Source organism: Homo sapiens, chromosome 2 (genome assembly GCF_000001405.40).
Source record: "Homo sapiens chromosome 2, GRCh38.p14 Primary Assembly".
NCBI lineage: Eukaryota > Metazoa > Chordata > Mammalia > Primates > Hominidae > Homo > Homo sapiens.
The window spans coordinates 19,803,678-19,825,489 of NC_000002.12; positions in this window are offsets into that span (position 1 = coordinate 19,803,678).

The window sequence follows — 21,812 nt, forward strand, 5'->3', positions numbered from 1 at the left end:
GCACAGCATATGTAAAGGTATGAAGGCATGAAAGGGTATATGGTGTCCTGGGGGCCAGAAGTAAAACATTATGACAAGAACTTGGAGCATGTTTTGGGGACTGATAGTCATCAGACTGGAGAGTCAGGCCAAGGCCCTGCAGCCATGCTTAGAATTCAGAAGGAAGAACAAAACACTTGTAAAGTATAAATGATTGTCAGCCAAGAACCGTGTGTAAGGCTTTCTTAGTGACATTTCAAAATGGCCTTCTTATAAAATGATATTTCAAAATGGCCTTCTTAATGACAAAGGAAAATCTGATCAATTCATTTCTGGGTTAAAATTTATGCTCCAGAAAAATGTGACCTAAAGAGTAAGAAAATAAAGGTTACATATTTTGAAGTGGTTTAAGTAATAGATATTGTTGAGTACACATATTCTGTAAATTAGTGTGTATCTGTGCCAACTGGTTGGAAATAGCTCTTAAAAGTGGAGATTGGATGCATGGCGGGATGGATGGGTAGGAGATGAATATATGCATGCATAGATGGATGATTAAAGGAAGGAGGGAAAGAGGAAAGGAAGGAAAAGGAATGAAAGAACACAGTGAACGAATTCAGAGGTAAATGACTGAGAGATGGATGAAAAACAAATGGATGCTCCCAAAGCATTCATCACTCCCCGCCATTAAGCCTCCTTCTAACTCAGTGAATGAGCTCTGCCTATTGCCACAGAAACAAAATAATTTGGAAATGGCCAACTGAATTAGAAGCCAAGTTCAAAACTCCCAGAGCATTGAGAACACACGGTGAAGACCCCTGCACAATCCCACAGATAACTGGAGAGAGGCCCGATATGCCCATCCTTGCCTCTCCCTGGCCCTGCTCCCCTGAACAATGTGAGGATCACATGTGGGGATCCTGCAAGAGAACAGTGCCCTAGGGAACATCTCAGACTGTAAATTCCAAGGAACATTACAACCAATTGAAGGAAACTCTTGCAATTTTGTGAGCCACAAATGGCTCCAAGGAAAGTCTGGGTCAGTTTTCAGACCTGGCAATAACTTCCTTCATGGCAGAAGGATGGTGGCCATGAAAAGGCCAGTTTTTCCTTCCCCATTTTCCCAAAGGAATGGGCCCTGAGCCGGGAAGGTTGTGTTTTCCCCACCTGTGGTTTTCTGTTCAAGCCAAGTCAATAAACTGAAATACAGCTTTGGTTCAGCTGATCCTCGAGGAGGGAAACAGCAATTTTGCCTTCAAAGGGACAGACCCACAAGCCAGAAATAAGAGTTATGTTTCTGGGCTGTGCTGAAAGAAGGCTGGGCTGTAGGTTTCAAAGGGCCAAGCTCCCACCAAGTCCAGGGGTAGCTGGGGGCAGCCCAGGCTTTGGCAGTTGGGGGCACCTGTCATTTAAAGAAGGTGCTAGTTCATGAGTGGGCAGGGCAGATGCTAAAAGAAGACTAGTACCTGCTTTAACCGCACCAGGACACAGCTATCTGCTTGTGCCTCCAACAGTAGAGAAAATGGGGTAACATACTCCCTTAATGGGGTATGAATGGCCAAGCATACAGATAAATGGTAGAGGATGTGAGGAGGGAAGAAGGCTGGCCTCAAAATCACGAGGCTTCACTTCCTTCCTTACTTGACTTCCAAGTCCCTTTGTGGCTTTAGGCCAGTGATTCTTCCTTCCTCAGCCTCCATTTCTCATCCATAAAATGGACATGGTCGCACCTGCTCTGCCTATCTCACAGCCCTGATCAAAGAAAGAATGTGAGACTGCTTCAAAGTTTCAGCAAAAATCACCATATCATGGCCTGTATCAGGTGAACTGCCCTCCAGGGATCTTGTTATCACTAACCTTCCTTGCATCTTCAGAAGCGCATCTAGACTCCTCTCCTCCCATTCAAATAAGTCTGGTTGCATTCCCCACCTCAACTGAGTTCCCTATTCCAGCCTTGAACCTGGGTCTTCAAGGCCATCATTTCCCGGTGCCCAGATCCCCAAGGATTATGTACAGCTTCTAACTAACCCGACCCTCAGCCATAACCAAGACACTGCAATGTTTAATGCCGACCCAGTCCAATTAAACCCCCTGCATCTTCCTAGGCACAGCGCTATGGAGAAAGACATTTAACGGCCTTCAATACACAGAGGAGACCACGTTCCCCTCCACCCGGGGAAAATCTGCAAGATGCCAAAACGTTTATTTTTCTAGGATTAACACAATGACAGGGAATCAGCCACATATATTGTTGAACATGATGAGCCAAATATTTTTCTGTAATTTTTATAATAATATGAGGAAAGCTGAAAAAGAAAAAAAAAAAAAAAAAAAGAAAGCAGCTGGTGTTAGGCTAGCCTTCGTAAGTTCCAGCCTCCAAAAATAACAGTCGTTCCCATGAATTACCAACAACGCTGTTTGTAGGACAGTTGCTTGATATAAGAAATGGAACATATTAACAGGAGCTTCCTGAGAAAAAGGGGCTTAGGGAGGACAGAGTGACCTAAGACAGAGGATGCTGGGGAGGCCACAAGCTCTCAGCCCCATCCCCTGTGATGTGGTCTCCCCAAGCCTCCTGCAAAGCAAAAGAGGTCACAGGAGATGCCGCCAGGACCCACACTGATTTCAAGCACTCAGAATGTGGGCAGGTGGGGATGGGGACTCAAGCCGGGAGGAGGGCATCTGGATTGGGTCACACAAGTGCCACAGCACTGCCAGACAACTTACTCACTGTGTTGCTCTTTCCAGACCTTGAAACCTGATAAAGTGATGTGGAAGAGACAAACACGAAACCGGAGTCTAAGGAGAGATGAGGGTCAGAAAGGAAGTTCAAGGGAAGAGAAGGTGGAGGCAGACATGGTCAGGGCCTGGCAGCAAGGGGGTTCATCTTCTAGGGCCCCCACTCTCCCACAGCCTCTGGGTAAATCTAGTAGGGGAGGTATGTTGTGAGGAGGAGGAAGAAAAACAAGCACCCTGGGCTAAGAATGCAGAGTAGAGTGCTGGGATGGCTTCCCCACTCCCTGCCTCTGTAGCCTTGGATCAGTCACTGGCCTGCCCTTGGGCCAAGGTGTCCTCAACCTCATGAGGGTGCTGTAGAGATTAAGTGGGAGTGAGATAATTACAGCAATGCCACAGAAGGCTGGAAGCTGGTGTCTAGGAGCCAGCTGCTCCTTCAACCCTGCACTAAGGGAGGTCACGTGAGGAGCGTGAAGAGGGCCCTTGTGGACCAGCCAGAGGGGACCCCAGGAACAGCAAGCCTGCTACTTCTCAGCCTCCCAAAAAGAGCTTTCCCCTGGACTGTCCCCCAGGGAACTGGAGCTCCAGCTGACAACTGCTTGTGTAGAATAAGAGATGACATTTGTTCAGAGCCTCGGAGGACAGATCCAGGGCCACTAGCGGATGCTTCCTGGAGTCAGACATCTGCTTGGCAGAAAGAAGGACTTTCTATCAGTCAACACAAAGCTGGCAGCCCCTTCCCCACCCGCTCTCCGGGGATTTGCCCAACTTTATTCTCACACTCATACTCTCTTCTCTCTTAGGGCCTTATTTTTAAAAAGGGACCTGGAAAAAGAAGGATCTTCAAGACCAAAGGGCTAGGGAGAAAGGAACTGATCAGATTGGGCCCTGGACACAGGAAATCCTCAGGCTAATGGAGGGGAGTTGAGGCAGAGACACCCAAGGCTGGGCTTGGGTTAGGAGAGCTTCACAAAGCAGCTGCCTAGAGGGACCAGTGGAAGAGACCCTGGAGGGACCAGTGGACAAGGCCTTGGAGGGGTCAGTGGAAGAGATGCTACAGGAGCCAAGGTCAGAGGAGTGAGGGAGAAGAAAGGACCAGAAAAGAGGGTTCCCAGCAGGAGGTGAGTCCAGAGACTCAGTGCTGGCCCCAGCCTGCCTTTCCTGCAAGTTGTGTAAACCCAAGTGAGATGTTGAGTGGAAAAGATGGCAAGCACTCCAGGGACAAGAGACAAGGCCCTGGTACACCCTGCCAAGTGCTGGGGTAAAGGAACAAATCAGACACAGCCCACAATAATGCCCCCTAGGAAGAATTCCCATTTAACAGATGAGAAAACTGTGACTCTGAGAGATTGAGTTCCCAGCCATCAGAGAATTCCTGGTCTTTAGGTTCATGGGAGCCAGTGTGGGGAGGGAGAGAAGTCCTGCCCCCGCACACCCCCTGCTAGCAGGAGGCAGTTTCCACTGGAGAGCCAGGGATTTGAGGGAAGCATGAGGCAAACACCAAATGTTTTACCAGTGGAAATAAAATTGAAAATGTCCCTGGAACCCACTTCATCCAGAATTTCCAGGGGAGGTTTGGTGTGAGTGAGTCACCAAGAGCACAATGGCTGGTTCCGAAGGCCAGGCCAGCTGAGCTCGGTGGATATTTAAACAGAGCTTGGGGAAAAGATGGTCAAAAACACTGGCCTGTGCCTGCTGAAACCTGAAAGGGTTGCCTCCACCCTGCCTGAACCCACTGACTGCAGGAGGCTTGGCAGGCCCCATGTGGCTCTCAGAGGCTGGACAAGGACTGGGGGAAACCCAGAAAACAGTGAGGGCAGTAAATCTCTGCCTGCCCACGACAGTGCTCTGGCACCTTCAGCATCCTTTTCCTCTCTAAGGAGAAAAAAAGTACATAACGAATAACAGCCCCCAAGATCAGAAGAGTTATTAGGCAAGCTTAGTGCTGCGCCCGCTCTCTTTCTCCCCAACAAAATGTAAGCTTTTCCACGATACCTCCAGCCAGTGTCTTGTGATGTCACCGCCACTCTCTCACAAGCTCCCTTCTCCTTCACGGAACAAGCATTGAAGATGGATCAGCAGGCAGGATCACCCTGTTCTGTTCCCAAACTCCACCACATGCAAGTGCCTCTGAAAGAGAAAACCCCAACCCTACACGGGAGAAGATGGCCTGACGTCTAAGGACAATTTCCCCTTAACAGCTCAAGAAACTGTCCCAGACAATGAGAATAACTAACAGTAAGTTGCACCAATCACGTGCCATCATTTAAGCCTAACAACAGCCCCTCCAGAAAGAATTGTTCTTTAGCAGATAAGAAAACTGAGGCTTCAAGAGATTGAGTGCCCAGGCCAAGACAGCATTGATAGTCAGAGAATAAGTAGCAGATTGAAGCATCAAAACCTGCCACTTCCCTAGACTATCTCTCCTTGTTCTCAATACATCCCTGAGCCCCAACAGGAGTGAACTCTCCAAGCATGCAGAATGTGGGAAATGTCTCTGATATTCAGAAGCATACTAGACTAGCATCCATATATCCTGGGTCCAAAAACCTAGGAGTCAGGCTAAATCAGGCTAAGTGGCCATTGTAAAATAATAATAATAAAATATTCACCCTAATAATTATTATTACTATGAAGTCTTCCTTGGTGCAGCAAAAATCCTGGGCTTCTGAACATCCCCATGTAGAGAGAATCCAAAGTTCCCACCTTAAGCCTAAGGGGCAAAAAACACTCTCCATTCTGACTCTCCAGGTGAGATGAGCTGAACAAACAAAAAGCTCTCAACTCCCAAAGATTCCGGTTGCAGATCCACACCAGGCCCGGTATCCTGCCTCACTCCTGCCCCAGCCAGAACGCACCCCCGCCCCCACCCATGGCCCCCAAGTCCTCCAGCCTCAGGGATGGTGGACATTTACCCTCCCTCTGAAGACTAAGGGCCCCCAAAACCAGCTCTCAGTCAAGCCTCAGACTTTCCTGCTCCTGGGCCACTGCTGGGCTCAGAGGCACTGCAATGCTGAGGGCAGCCACCGCAGGCTTTCCTCTAACAGGCCATGCACAGAGTAGACGAAGTCAGCGTCAGATAGATGGAGGTCTTACTTGTAATCCTGAGCCTCAGTTCTTCTGTCAACTGGGCACAAAATTAGTACCCACCCCCAGGGCCATCGTGAAGATGAAAACATATTAATGCTTTAAACCATGGGATGGTGATTAATAAAGATTACCTATGAGTGTGAGAATGCTTAAAGCTGAAGACTCAATAGACCAGAAGATCAAGGCTTGTCTGCCCCAGATGACACTACTTCCCATCCATTTATCCACCCCCGCCTTGAAGCCACCCCTAAGTCCAGCGCTCACTTTCAGATCCCCAGAGACACAGCTCCACTAAGAATGAATTCATTCATTCAGGGCCTAGAGCAAGAGGACAGGTGAAAGTCTGTGACCCACCTGTCCTTTTCCTATCTCCCATTCTGGTGGAGTCCCACACCATGAAGGGCCTCGTATGTAAGTCTATAGACCCCTCCTTAAGCCCATACATTCAAGCCCAGTTCACATGCTGCCACCCCTCAGACTTAGAAATGCCCTCATGGGTGGCTCAGGAAAGACCCCAATGAGACTCCACGCAGGCCTCAGAGACATTGGAGCAGAGGAGTCCAGGGTCCCTGGTACCAGGAGTACAGTGGAGAAACCTAGGGTCAGACTCCAGTTGGGAATGTGGTTTTGGTCCCTTGTCCCCTGGGAAAGGGCAAGGCTGGAGGAAGCCCAGAGCAGGGACACAAAAGCACCGTGACCGTGGCAGTTGCTTTCCCTCGTTTACTCAATACATTCTCTGGGAACCCTGTGTGACCTGGAAATACCAAGGTGAATAAGGCCCAAGACTTGCCTACAAGGAGTTCTCAGTCTGGGGATGTGATGAGGTCCTCATAATTGCAGTAAAGTGAGCCCCATGGGAGAGATGTTAACCACAGCAACCAAGCTCAGAGGTGGGGCAGCCCCAGACAGCAACAAACCTCTGAGCAGGAGGAAGGGGAGTCCTGCGGGCAGAGAGTGGTGGCAAGAGTACTCTGAGAGAGGACAGCGCAGGCCAAGGTGTGCAGGAGTGTGGGCCTGGTCTCCAGCACCATTTGGGAAGGCAGAGCCCAGGAGGAGGAAGAGTTGAGGATGAGGCTCAAAAAGCAGAAAGGAAGTGAACCAAGCAGGGCTCCTGTGCTAGGGAGCACTAAGGAGTCTCTGGACTCTCAAATTCCAGCCCGGCCCTCCACACACACAGTCTACTCCACCTGCTTAGCAGAGAACCTTCCCTGTCTTGCTCATGGGCTCCATCCTGCCTCCCAGCTCAGTGCCAATACAGCACCAAGAATGTCCATGGCCACCTCACCACCACATCTGCAAGGGTGACATCACAAGCCATCTGCAGCTCTGGACAACACAGCCCCTGTTGGCCTGGTGATGAAGCTGTGATTAGATGCAGGGGCCAGGCCTAGGGCTGATGGCTGGAGCCCAGCTGGCCCCAGCTGGAGAGTCAGCTGCCCTTCCCAGCCAGCGCCTTCCCCTCCTGAAGCACATCCCATGCTACCCAGGAATTAACTAGGGAGGGACACTGTGAAAAACCAATGCCTCTGAAACTTGGGGAATATCACAACTACAGATTTAGAAATCCCCAGAATATGGAAGGCAGAGACTTATATGACCTTGACTGACCTATCTTCCCGTAGACAATGATGCCCTCAACTGCGCAATGGACTTCAGGACTAGGGTATGGAAGGTGGGTGACATGCCTGCCACCATCTTCCTTCAATCAATAAGCCCTAGGCCGGCTTCATCCCTTTCCAAACACCACCTTCCCACCTGCAACTGCCCCCATGGCCTCTGGCCTGGCCACACGCAGCTCCTCAATACACTCACTGCTGCACTCAGATGGGTCTTCTCACTACTCGGCGCGTCCCTTCTCACTCAGTCCCCCAGCAGAGCAACACCCTAGGTACCAAGCCAAACCTCAAAGGGTCAAAGGCAAGGAGGCAGGAACCTGGTGCGCTCAGGGAAGAGTGTGACAGGACCCAGTGTGGGAGAAGCAGGGGGGCAAAGTGGACATAGTAGCCTGGGGTCAGGTCACCAAGAGCACCCCACACCAGGTGGAGAATCACTGTTGCCTTAGCACTCCACCCCAACTCTTGCCAAGCATGTTACATTTCAAGATCTACTCATAGAGGGTAGAGGCCACCCTAGGACATCCTCTGGACTCCTGGAGAGGTTACAGGAGCTTTCTGGGGCTATAAGGCAAAAATGCCCTCAGCTTTCAGAATCTAAGTCAAAGTCACCTGCTCTCTAGAGATTTTTCTGACTTCCCAGCTCTTTCCTTGCCCCACTGTACCTGCGAGAAGGTTCTCATAGCATTGTGCTTAATGGCTGGTAGTTCTATCTTCCTCCACACCTTAGGTCTTTCGAGTGGAAAGACTATGTCTTATTTATCTTTGTATTTCCAGAGCCCAGTAAAGTGACTAGCATGGAATGTTTGTTCAAAGGATGGATGGATGGATGGATGGATGGATAGATGGATGGATGAATGGATGGATGATAGACTCTGCATTTCACAGCAGTCATAGATTCAATGAACATTATCTTCAAATTACTACTTGCCAAAAAGCTAAGGTGGATAAAAGCAATGGACCCAATTTTCATGGTTTTCCCAGGTACCCTTCCTTCTGTCTGCTCATCCCACTGGTGCTCAAAACCCTTGGCAGATTCCTGAGCTGGGGCATCAGGCCCAGCCTCCCAAAGACAGCATGGGAGAGGAAGAGCCACGACTGGATCCTGGCACCAGAACAACCCTTCGGTAATTACATGTTTCCAGACAGACATAAATAGACAGATTAGCCTTTCTGCATTTTTCTCATAAAAATAACAACAGTTCCTAAGCACACTGGCACGAGCATGGACATTAAGCATTGCAACCTGCTGTTCTTGGCAGGCAAGGGCTGGCCTTCCTTGCTGTTTCCCCCTACACTGCCTCCCCCTCCAGGCTCTTGGAGGGCTCCTCATGCCTGGCTCTGTCCACCCCTATCGCCCCAGAGCGGGTTGGCAGCCAAGCCCTGAGACTGGCTAAGGGCTTTTATGAGCATCATGTCCATGCTTTGCTATTCTCTTGGCTGGATCTTTATCTGCTTTTAGTCATTATGTAACTAAAAATCCTGTACACACGGTGAAACGATTATATGCCCCTTTCTGTACTAGGGAGAATGTTTGCTTTATTTCTGCCCTAACCCAGAAGCAGAGCACTCCTAACAGTGAAGCCCCTAACATTATACACACACTTAATGTAATCTCTCTCCCTTTCCTTCTGCTCTGGCCCTCTTCCTCCTCAACTCTCTCTCTCTCTCTCTCTCTCTCTCTCTCTCTCTCTCTCTCTCTTTCATTCTTTCCTACTTGTCCTCAGACTCCCATGCTGAACCTGGTTATGACCATGGCCCAAGGACCAAGGCACCTTCACTTTGCGTCCCACACTCTTCCACACCTGACCTGCCTCTAAGGCCTCAGGGCTCAAGAATCAGACCCTGAAGTACTGATCACCAGACCCTCCTCCCTAAGGCCCATGGATCTCCCAAGCTAAAAGAAGTCCTATCCTCATCCTCCTAGCAGATACTGACCCATCAGGCCTCTGGCCACAAGGTCAAGGGTCTACAACTAACCATCAGATGGCCATTGCTCCTTGTGGAAGACAAATGATGACTAGAACTGCTTGCAGGCCATAAAAAGCTTTATTTTCTCTTCCATGTGATGTTATTACTCCTCATGGCCTCCCTCAGAAAGACCCAGAACAAGGGGTGGGACCTTGTAGCAGGCTACATGCCACATACCCAGTCAACTATGCAAGGTATCTCTCAACAGGACTATGACATTCAATGAAAAAGAAGAGGAATTTGAAGTCAGAGGACTTCAGTTCAAGTCCCAGCTCTACCTCTCGTTAGTTGGTAGGTTCAGGCAAGTCACTTCCCCTCTCTGAAACACATAAGCAAAAATGGTGGTATTGTGCCTAATCATCAACGTGTGTGTGTGTGTGTGTGTGTGTGTGTCCTATTACTACACAATGTGGTGTCCCATGCCATGTTCGCTTACAATGCAGCTTAGTAATTATTTCACATAGGTACATAAAGCTTTCTTGTTCTTTCCACAGCTATGTAGTATTCATTTGTATAGATGTAATGTTATTTTTTAATAAGTAATCCCCAATCAACTTATTTTTAAGCTTTTTTCAGTCTTTGACTCTCTCCATCAATGCTGCAGTGAATGACCTTGTAAAAATATCATTTGAAACACTGCAAATATATCTGCAGATTAAAGCACAGATATAAAATTACTGGGTCAAAGGGCATATGCATTTGTAAATACAATAGGCTTTGTCCAATTACCCTCATAGATGTTGAATCAATTTGCACTTCCACCAGAAAGGTATGCATGCTCGTTTCCCATATTCTTGAAAACACAGTTTTTCACGTAACATTTAATCATTGCCAAATGTTGATGAAAATTTGTATCTCAGTATAATTTACATGACTCTTATTTTTAATGGGTGTGAAAATCTTTTCATATTTTTTACCATGTGTATTTCCTTTTCTATCGGTTTATAATATTTTTCCATTGTTTTATTTAGCTATTGGCTTGTCAGTATTCAGGAGCTTTTAATCTGAAGCTGCAGAGACAACACAAACCCCCAGAAATTGAGTACAAATGTTATGTAACCATGTGTTCATTTCTCTTGAAAATGTTTTTATTGCTTTTATCAAATTCTCAAAGGGTTTGTGACCTTTAAAAGTTAAAAACAAGTGAATGAGATTGCCATTAAGAACTCTTCAAGAGTTAACAACTGAATCTATGAATGCTGCAGAGTTTAAGGCACTGAGCATCAATAAACACCTATCTGTGTGCCCAGTACTGGCTCAGTGGTGTCGTAGGATACTCTAAAGGATTGGCTTTTCAAATCCAAAATGAGTCCCTACACATGTTCCACTTGCAGTTTAGATGCAATATTTATAGGTAGAAGGGTGATCTATTCACCCCTAGGGACACCATGATAAATTAGAAAACATAGGTACCGTGATGAATGTAGGATTCTGATGATTACTCTAGTCCTACTGTCAGTTTCAGTAACCACAAACAACTTGTTCCTGGAGGTTAAATACCGCCCTTGACATTTGCTTCCCTGGAATCCCATCATTCCCAGTGAAATCAAGAAAACCCTTCCTATGGCAATCTCTCCCCCCATCAACTCCTGCCTGCAGCAAACAACCATCACAAAGTCTTGCAAGAATGCCAGTACTTCTCCCACCAATGTACAGTGTTTCTCAACTTTGTATAAAAGAGTGATATCTGTGTGAACCCTCCTGTAAGGGGCTGGGTGAGCAGGTTGCATATGATAGATCCATTTCAGCATTCCTATCTCTTTAAGCCTTGGGATTTCTTTGTCTGCAGTATGCCAAGGAAGTTCTGATGTGTGAGTTTCATTTCACTCGGGACACCATTGAGTCCAAGTTTCAGTCAAAAAAACAAAAAAAAGCAAACTGCCAGAGTCATGCTGAGCTGCTCAAGCTAACAAATTAGATCAAGAACCTGGTAAATACATGCATCTTGATACATTCATCCCAATCCAACATTACATAACCTTCTCCCTAGACTGTCACCTTGTAATTTTTCTTGCATGTATGCTTTCTCCTCCTGGGTCATACTTTGTTCTCAACCCTCTTGGGCATGCTAGGATCTGACTTAGTTTTGAATCTGAAAACAATGAGAGGTAGTGAGAATATGTCTTAAGGGGATATAGCATCTCCTTATAAGGTCCTTAAGCAAGTGGAAAGTAGTTTCCTCGGAGAGCAGTGGAGAAGGTTGCTTCTAATGGCAAAGTAGGCACAGAGAGATTTGGGATGTGAGGCCAAGCTATTCTGAATCAGCCAAATCTACCCAAATGTCTGCATACCTATTCTCAGTGTCTCACTCTTTCTTAAACAATGTCCTCACTTTAATACAAGACCCGGTATGGATGTAAATTACATTGTGCTATTATCTGCAATTTCATAATTGAACTTTGTAACACACTAAGTTACAAGACAAGCAACAATTATTTTAAGGCAGTTACAGAAGCACTCTGATTCTCTGATCATTGACTTGTACCCTGAGATTATTCATTTCTTTTATTCCAGTGCAGTCAGAAATGGCCAGCCTGCCCACCCTTACAAGTCTCACTCCACGTGGCCACCATGACATTCTATAGCAGTCACCATGTCGTCTGCCAAAGCCTTGCCCTTCATAGGTTCTTTATTCCAGACAACTTCAGGTGACATTTTAAAACTACTGTTTGCCATGGTAGGCCATGCATTGTCAATATTCCATTTTCTTTTGAGAAAGAAGCCATCACTAGCTTCAAACCTAATCTGCACAGATAACCAACCCATTCTTCTCATCTTTAAATGTCTGCTTTCTAGGAGCACTTGCAGTGCCAAATACTGAATCAGCCAGGAGCCAGTCAGGAAAACAGAAATCTCTCCAGTTATATTAAGCAGGATGTTGTTTCATGCAAAAATGTAGGTGTTTATAAAACTGTTAGAATAATATTAGGAAAGACCACGATTAGCTCTTAGGAACCCATGAAGGATGACCACAGCAGGAACATGTCCAGAGATCACTATAATACCTCCCACTTCTTCCTAGATTCAACAGACTGAATGATGAATAAACTGCTCATTTTCCATTATAATTTTTTAATTGAAAGATTAACAATAAAATTAGAAATGTGGTTAAAAATACAAAGCTGTTTTAACATTGCAAACTTAACAGTATGATAAACCTCAGAAAAGCAAAACCAAAAATGAACTGATGTAGCTATCTCCGGCTTTGGTATAGCTGAGACTTTGGGTCTCAGGTCCAGGAAGGGCTTGGCTTTCTAACATCTTAAAGTAGTGCTCTTTGTCACTTGGTCATTTGACTCTGGTTTTTGCTTTAATTTTTTTTCAGTGAAATCCACAAGTGGCTCGTCCATGGTTCTGGGATTTCCAGCAACTTCTTCAGATGCATAAAACTCTTTTGGCCTTTCTTCCACTGAGGCTGTTGTCTTTTTAGAGAAAAGCTTTTTATCTCTGACAATCACTTTCTACTAGTCTCTGGAAAAAGGCCTCTGTTATCTTCTCATAAACCCTAAAAATGGGTCTGTGGGGCCATGACACTCCAGAATGTTCTGTGCTTGTGTACAGCCCAGGAGTTCCCATAAACTAGCAATGACTCCCCCAAGGCACCCTCAGCCATTAATACCTGTATTAGGGTTCTCCAAAGAAACAGAACCAATGGGATGTGTATCTATATAAACATAGAGAGAGGGAGGTATTTATTTTAAGGAATTGGTTCAAGCAGTTGCGGAGGCTTGACAAGTACAAAATCTACAGGGTCTGGCAGCAGCTGGAGATCCCAGGATGAACTGCAGTGTGAGTCCAAAAGTCATCTGCTACAGAATTCCTCCTTGCTTCAAGGTCAGTCTTTGCTCTTAAGACCTTCAACTGATCGGATGAAGCCCATTCACATTATGGAGGGTGGTCTGCTTTACTTCAAGCCTACTGATTTAAACATTAATCTCATCTTTAAAAATACCTTCATGGAAGTATGTAGAATAATGTTTGACCAAATATCTGAGCACCATGGCCAAGTTGGCACCAAAAATTTGCCATCACAATACCTCCTTCAAGAAGCCCTTTCTAGGGAGCAACCCACTGAACAGTTTCAGAACGTAGCCTTCCTCCCACGCAGCATCCCATGCCTTGAGGTTACTATGGTGTTTTACAAACATGTCAATCTCACCTACTTGAATCCGCACACCTCAATGGCAGAATCACTTCCAATTCATCTCTGTAGCCTGCTACCAGCCCAAACCTGACAGAGATGGCTCAGTGTCTGCCGATTGAAAGAACGAATGATCCCTGTAGGAGCTGGGGGAAGCTGATCCTACTTCCTCTCTCTTGAGAGGGTCTTGCTTCTCTCAAAACATCTTTTCAATAGACATTTGAACATGCAAAATAGAGGGGTTTTTTTGTTTTTTCTTTTTTTTTTTTTTTTTTTTTTGAGACGGAGTCTCTTTCTGTCGCCCAGGCTGAATGGAGTGCAGTGGCGCGATCTCAGCTCACTGCAAGCTCCTCCTCCCAGGTTCATGCCATTCTTCTGCTTCAGCCTCCTGAGTAGCTGGGACTATAGGTGCCTGCCACCACGCCTGGCTAATTTTTTGTATTTTTAGTAGAGACGGGGTTTCACCGTGTTAGCCAGGATGGTCTCGATCTCCTGACCTCGTGATCCGCCCTCCTCAGCCTCCCAAAGTGCTGGGATTACAGGCGTGAGCCACAGTGCCAGGCCCAAAATAGAGTTTTAAGGCAACCCAGTGTGGTTTCTTCATGGGGAGACAAGGTACACATGAGACCAGTTAAAGATTATAGCACACAAACCTCACTTAATACCAAGTTGGTACTACAAATAGTACCTTGAGTAACCCACTGTAAGTCTTTCTACTGATCATTTCTAACCAATGAGGGAAACACTTTAGGTATCCTGGATAAAAGCACCTTGAAGTCAGGATCTGAACATTGTAACAGGCCCTCTTGCATCTCACTCTGGACCAGGTTCTGAGCTGGTGTCTTTCTGGATGTCAGATCTGAAAACCCTGCAAACTAAACACATCTGATTCCCAAACCATCTCCTTGCAGTCAGGAATGGCCCATGCAGTGACGCATTCATGGAGGGGCTCCCACAGTTCCCAGCCCTGCCAAATCACTGACATGCTTCCCCAGACACTATGAATGGTGCCAGCAAGTCCCGCTGGAAGCCGAGTCTCCTCATGTCCTGATTCTGTTCTGTCTTCAGACAGACTCAGAGGGGAACATGAGCATGAAACACACAGCAATGTGGCCATCAGCCAGGGACATCAGAGCCCAACCCACTTCTTCTTGGGGTGAAGACAGACCTAGCATTGACAGCAGAGGGAGGTGTGATTTCCCCAGCAAAGTCCAGACTTCCTCACTGGGAGCTTTAGAAACCTCCAGGTGTGAAGGTTACTTAATAGGTGTTGAGTATAGGATCAGGGATCCATGAGGCCAGGAGGGTCAAAGAAGGAAAGGGAGCCTGGGCTAGGGAATGGCCTGAGGGTGAAGGACCTCTCCCCACCACCTTCATTTCTGGACTATTTGATGAAGGAAGGAGCAACCATTGCTCTTCACTGGTGTCGGCGGGAGGGGGGAAATACAGGTCTGGGAGATCTGCCTCTGATTAGCTGAGTGGCTCTCAGCAAGCTCCTTAAAAGTCCTGGTTTGTGTCACAGTGGAGGGGAGGTGATGGAGGACAGGCAGTCCTCGGGTGATTAATGGTGTCTGGGTTTCCACCTCCAGAATTAGTGCTCTAACTCTCTTCTGAGAACTGGATGCAAGAGTCTTTAGCTGGAGAGGTGCTCCCTTTCACTCCCCACCCACACACCCTGCTAAGTGCAGAGCCAGGCACACAGATTTCTCCATCAACAGCTCTTGGATTGATGAAGAAAAGCCTTCTAAAGGGAAAACATTGTTTTTCCTTGATTAGGGTGGGTTAGCAATGAATGAAGTTCCAGGACCCTGAATTCCAAATGGCTTCTCACTTGGGTCAGGTGCTTTCCTTGGTGGTGTTCTGCCTGGGGGGTCTTCTCCTGAGAACAAGGCCTATACCTTCTCCTGTCTTACCCTCTTAGCCAAGAACAGGACCAGACACCAGCTGCGTACTAGGTGAAGCTCCGGGGTGGAGGGGCATACATAGATGAAGGGATGGATAGAGACACTGAATGTGTTTGTGAAAGAGCACCCGGCCTCTGTAGACCCTGCCTTGGCCTGAACTGGATTTCCCTGTTCTAGTCATCACCCAGCCTTTGCTCTGCAGGGAAATATATGGGTGAGCGGAGAGCCACACATACTTCCCCAGTGAGCTTCAGCTCGCCCCCTCACCATCAATCTCCAGGAGGCTGGCTCCCCAAGTGGCTCATTGTTTCTGGTTTTATCTGAAACAAAAATAGACTCTTGCAAACATTCCAGTCTTGAGGTCATCAGTTCATAGGCCTCATCCAGCCCTGGCTGATGTTCCTCCCTCGAGCTCACTGAGGACACTGTGGCTGCCTAGGCACAGCTGGCTTCATTGCCATTGTGGCTTATTCAACACAGCATGTTCTTCCCTCAGGCCTTTTAGATGGTCCTTGGATATGAAGCTGTTCACAGACAGCAATGCCAAGCACTCAGACACCTTAAATAGCTGCCAAGACACAGACCTCCAGGGCCAATCATGTCCCTTTTGGGGAATGACTCAGTTACCACTCATGAGAGCCATCATGACTTCTCAGGGCCCCCAGGGCATACTGCATGGACAGGGCTTTCTTCCCATAATTCATTCCATGCTATGGGTGTTTGTCTATGTATCTTGCCCTGTCATTGGAGGGGAAGCTTCTGGTGGGTAGGAGCCAGGTCTGATTCAGCCCCAGGACCTTGCCAGGGAATATAACCAAATTCCTTCCTAGACAATTTTGTTAAAAGAGGCCGCATCAGGAAATATTTATTTATTTATTTATTTATTTATTTATTCATTCATTCATTCATTCATTCATTCACTCATTTACGGAAGGATAGACTAAAAGACACCCACTCATGCTATAGATTCTGGAATGTTCATGTTAAATTCGGCCAGGTCGTCAAAGCTGTTTGTCCAGCCTGTATCCTTTGACCACCACCTCCCATTCTTTTTTCCTGACTTGGATATTGTCACTGTGGCCCCTGCTTGCACTGGGAACTGGTGTGAGAAAGAGCCATTGGGAGACACTCCGATTGAGTTTTGGAAGGAAAGCCATCCAGTTCTTGACACATTGCCCCACTGTTGTCTAAGATTTTTCCTAAGAATCTGGTTTGTTATTATCCTATGGGTGCTGCTACTGCTCAGATTTCCCTATTTGCCTTTGCTGCTAAGAAGTTTATAGACTAATTGGTGGCCCATCGCTGGGAATGCATACACAGGATTGCAGTTTGAGGATTAATCTTACCTCCAACATTTTTATTTTCATACCCCTATTTTCCCTTTGCCCAACCCCCTATATTTTATTGTATCTTGCTGTTTATAAACTGCCCCAGGTTTGAGACCAGTTGAGGTCTAAATTTATTAATTAATAGATTAACTTATTTTAAAGTGTTATGAGGCCGGGCACGATTGCCTGTAACCCCAGCACTTTGAGAGGCCAAGGCAGGCAGATGGTTTGAGCTCAAGAGTTCAAGACCAGCCTGGGCAATGTGACAAAACCCTGTTTCTACAAAAAAATTAGCTGGGTTAGCTAGTTGTGGTGGCACACTCCTGTAGTTCCAGCTACTCAGGAGGCTGAGGCAGGAGAACTGCTTGTGCCCAGAAGGCAGAGGTTATAGTGAGACAAGATAGCGCCGAGATAGCGCCTTTGCACTCCAGCCTGGCCAACAAAAGTGAAATCCTGTCTCAAAAAAAAAAATTTTTTTTTAATTTTTTAAGTTTTATCAATGAGGGTAGGTGAAGTTTTGCTACATAATAAATAATCCCAATATCTCAGTGGTTTAACAACACGAAGATCAATGTGTGAATTTATTTACAACACTCCCTTATTTATTTCTAATGCAGCATTGCTAGGAGCTATGCTCCAGGCCATCACCATTAGAGGTTGCAACCTGACATAAACTTCTATTTGACATATGCTTCCATGATCACTGCAGCAGAAAGGGGAGGGTAAGCATGCATTGGCTCTTAAAGATGCCACACATTACTTCTGCTCACCTTTCACTGGTCCAAGTATGTCATATGGCCATAACTGATTACAAGCAGAGCAGAGAAGTACAAAACTACCATCCACCTGAAAGGTGGAACACCAGAATATTCATGAATTCTGTTCATGGCAAACACAATGCAAGCACAACCATATAATATACCATTCAAATTGGGACACTTTTGAGAGTGGAAGGAGGATCTAACAGTAAGAAAAACTAAATAATTTTCTTAAGATTTATGTGTTGCCTTGCAAATTGATTATTTTATTGATAGACCATAAAATTATTCTATTCAAAAACTAATTTCAAAAATAAAATTTCTGGCCAGGTGCAGTGGCTCACGCCTGTAATCCCAGCACTTTGGGAGGCCGAGGAGGGCGGATCACTTGAGGTCAGGAGTTCAAGACCAGCCTGGCCAACATGGTGAAACTCTGTCTCTACTAAAAATACAAAAATTAGCGGGGCATGGTGGCGGGCGCCTGTAATCCCTGCTACTCAGGAAGCTGAGGCAGAAGAATGGCTTGAACCCCGGCAGGTGGAGATTGCAGTGAGCTGAGATCGCGCCATTGTACTCCAGCCTGGGTGACACAGCGAGACTCCATCTCAAAAAAAAAAAAAGTAAATAAAATTTCTTCTAAAACTATAATATAGACTTGTGTACATCAAGTCAAAAAAATATGTTGTAAAGATGTCAACAATAGATACTGGGGACTACTAGAGGTGGGAGCAAGGGAGGGGGCAAAGGTTGAAAAACTGTTGGGCTCTCTGCTCAGCATGTGGGTGGCTGGATCATTCACACCCCAAACCTCAGCATGACTCAATATACCCAGGTAACAAACCTGCACACGTACCCCCTGAATCTAAAATAAAAGTTAGAAAAAAAAGTTTTAAACCCATAAAATAAAATAAAATTATCCTTTCTTTTCCAACTAGGAAAAGAGACAGAGATTTTGGAAATTGTGAAGAAAAAGGACTTTCTACTCAACAGAAAAACTGAAAGAATATAAATAAATAATCACTGACAAGGAAATATAGTTAAGCAATATGAAAAATGCCCAACTTCATTCTTAATAAAAGAAATGCAGATTGAAATTTTTTTTAAAAATTTAATCTCTATGTTGATCATCTGAACATTAAAAAATAATGTAAAGAGAATAATTTATGTTTGATATGGATTTGCATATTTAATTCTGTTTCCTAGACATATCACCCTCTAATATTGTATCACCAAATTTTTCGAAGATTGTAATTTTTTCAAGCTGATCTTATCATTTTAGACTTTGCCATAAAATTGCCTGCAATTTTCTTCAAATTGCATGTTATGATTCATATATTTGAAGTCATCGATTCTTTGAATTGGCCCTTCTTTGTAGAGCACAATTTTTTTAATTGAGAAAACATTTTGCCTCCTGGTATTGAGATATCTGGAAAGCTTGGGGAAATTTTAGTGAAATTGAGGATATTGTCCATTTTAATTATTTTTCATATTTGAAAAGAGTAAATATTTCACTTCAAGTATTTTCACGGATACTTTCCTTTTGTCTCAGAGTAGTTTTCTTTGCCAAAACATGTCAAATAAGTTGTCTCTATGATTCTTTTGAGTGGTTCACCAGTTTTACATGTTCGAGATCATAGGCCTACTCAATTCCATTCCACCACATTGCGGAATACAAATTTACTGAACTACCATGTGAGCACCATCACAAGATTCACCCCATAAATCAAGATATTCCAAAGCACTTAGAAAATTTGAATATTAAGTGTGGCACACCATTTTATCTCTTGTGATTTTTTTTTTCAGCTTCTCCCTTGCTTTTGTAGAGAGAAATCTCAGTGTCTTCCTACTTACAGGGCTTGTTTTTAGTAGTCACAATTCAAAAAAAGATTCATAAGCTGATGTCTTAAGATGAATCACTTACTTAATTTTGGTTAAAATCTCCAGCTGGTTTTAAACAAAATGAACCAAAATTTAGAGAATTTGTTTACACAAAAGCTCTACAACATTTTAAGACACAAGTTGATTCACAAAGTAGTTCTTCAAAAATTCAAAGATTTCTAAAATCTGACTGATAATAGGCAGGAAAGAGAAAAGTGTATACTGTCATGCTAAACTATTATTTCGCACTCAAAATCAGTTTTGTCACAAAATTTTGTAGTTCAGTTTTCTGAGTACATATAAAATTACTTAATTTTTTACAACTACACTTTCTAATTCAACTGATGGGGGAAAAAAACGACATTTGGAAACAGTTATTAAGTATGTGTGCACCCAACCAACTTCAAGTACATTCTGAGTCTATTAATATCTTAATTTAGTAAGAAAGTTATTTCCTCTATAACACTGTGTTCTACCAAAATTTGTATTTTTATTATCATTGAAGAAAATCTCCAATATTCAATGTCTTAACATTTATTTCATCTGTTTCACTTTTGACTAAATGAACTTACAAAAGCATTACAAGCATACCTCAGAGATATTGCAAGTTGAGTTCCAGATGACTGCAATAAAGCAAATATTGCAATAAAGTGAATCACATGAATTTCTTGGTTTCTCAGGGCATATAAAAGTTATGCTTACACTATACTGTAGTCTATTAAATGTGCAATAGCATTATGTCTAAAAAATACTTTATTGCTAAAAAATGCTAATGATTATCTGAGCCTTCAGTGAGTTGTAATCTTTTTGCTGGTGGAGGGTCTTATCTCAGTGTTGATGGCTGCTGAATGATTAGGGTGGTGGTTGTTGAAGGTTGGTGTGGCTGTGGCAATTTCTTAAAATAAGACAACAATGAAGTTGCCTAATCAATCGATTCTTCCTTTCACAAAAGATTTCTCTGTAGCATGTGATGCTGCTTGATAGTGTTTTATCCACAATAGGACGACTTTCAAAATTAAAGTCAATCCTCTCAAACCCTGCTGCTGCTTTATCAACTAAGTTTATCTAATATTCTAAATCCTTTTTTGTCATTTCAACAATGTTCACAGAATCTTCACTAGGAATAGATTTCATCTCAAGAAATCACTTTATTTGCTCACCCCTAAGAAGCAACTCCTCCTCCATTGAAATTTTATCATCATATTGCTACAATTCAGTCACATATTTAGGCTCCAAGTCTAATTCTAGTTCCCTTGCTATTTCTACCACATCTGCAGTTACTTCCTCTACTCAAGACTTGAACCGTCAAAGTCATTCATGAGAACTGGAATCAATGTCTTCTAAATTCCTGTTAATGTTGACATTTTGACCTCCTCCAATGCATCACAGATGTTCTTAATGGCATCTAGAATGGTGAATGCTTCCTGGGCAGTTTTCAATGTGCTTTGCCAAGATTCAGCAGACTAATCACTAAGTATGGCAGCTATAGATTTACAAAATGTATTTCTTAAATAATAAGATATGAAAGTCAAAATTACTCCTTGATCTATGGGCTGCAGAATGGATGTTTTGTTAACAGACATGAAAACAACACTAATCTCCTTGTACATCTCTATCAGAGCTCTTGGGTGACTAGACACATTGTCAATTAGTAGTAATATTTATAAAGGAATCATTTTTTCTGAGCAATAGGTCTCAATAGTGGGCTTAAAATATTCAGCAAACCATGCTATAAACAGATGTGCTATCATCCAGGCTTGATTTTTCCATTTCTACAGCACAGGCAGAGTTGATTTAGCATAATTTTTAAGGGTTCTAGGACTTTCAGAATGGTAAATAAGCATTGGCATCAACTTAATGTCACCAGTTGCATTAGCCCCTAACAAGAGAGTCAGCCTGTCCTTTGAAGCTTTGAACCCAGGCATTGACTTCTCCTCTCTAGTAATGAAAGTCCTAGATGGCATCTTCTTCCAATGGAAGGCTGTTTTGTCTATGTGGAAAATGTGTTATTCAGTGTAGCTGAGGTAGGAGGCAGGACTCAACTCCAGAGGCAGGGCTTGGGCATCAGTCCAAATTGAGGACTAGCTAAAACAGGGACTGGGTAGAAGCAGCTTTCCATAAGGCACACCCAGCAGTGTGCCATGTCAGTTTACCATTGCATGGCAACCCTCAGGAGTTACCACCTCTTTCCATGGCAATGACTCGACAACCCAGAAGTTACTACCTTTTCCTTAGAAATTTCTGCATAAACTGCTCCTTAATCTGCATGCAATTAAAAGTAAGTATAAATATGATTACAGAACTGTCCTGAGCTGCTACTCTCTGCCTATGGGGTTTCCCTGCTCTGCAAGAGCAGTCATGGAGCTATAACACTGCCACTTCAATAAAGCTGTATTCTTCTACCCTACCACTGG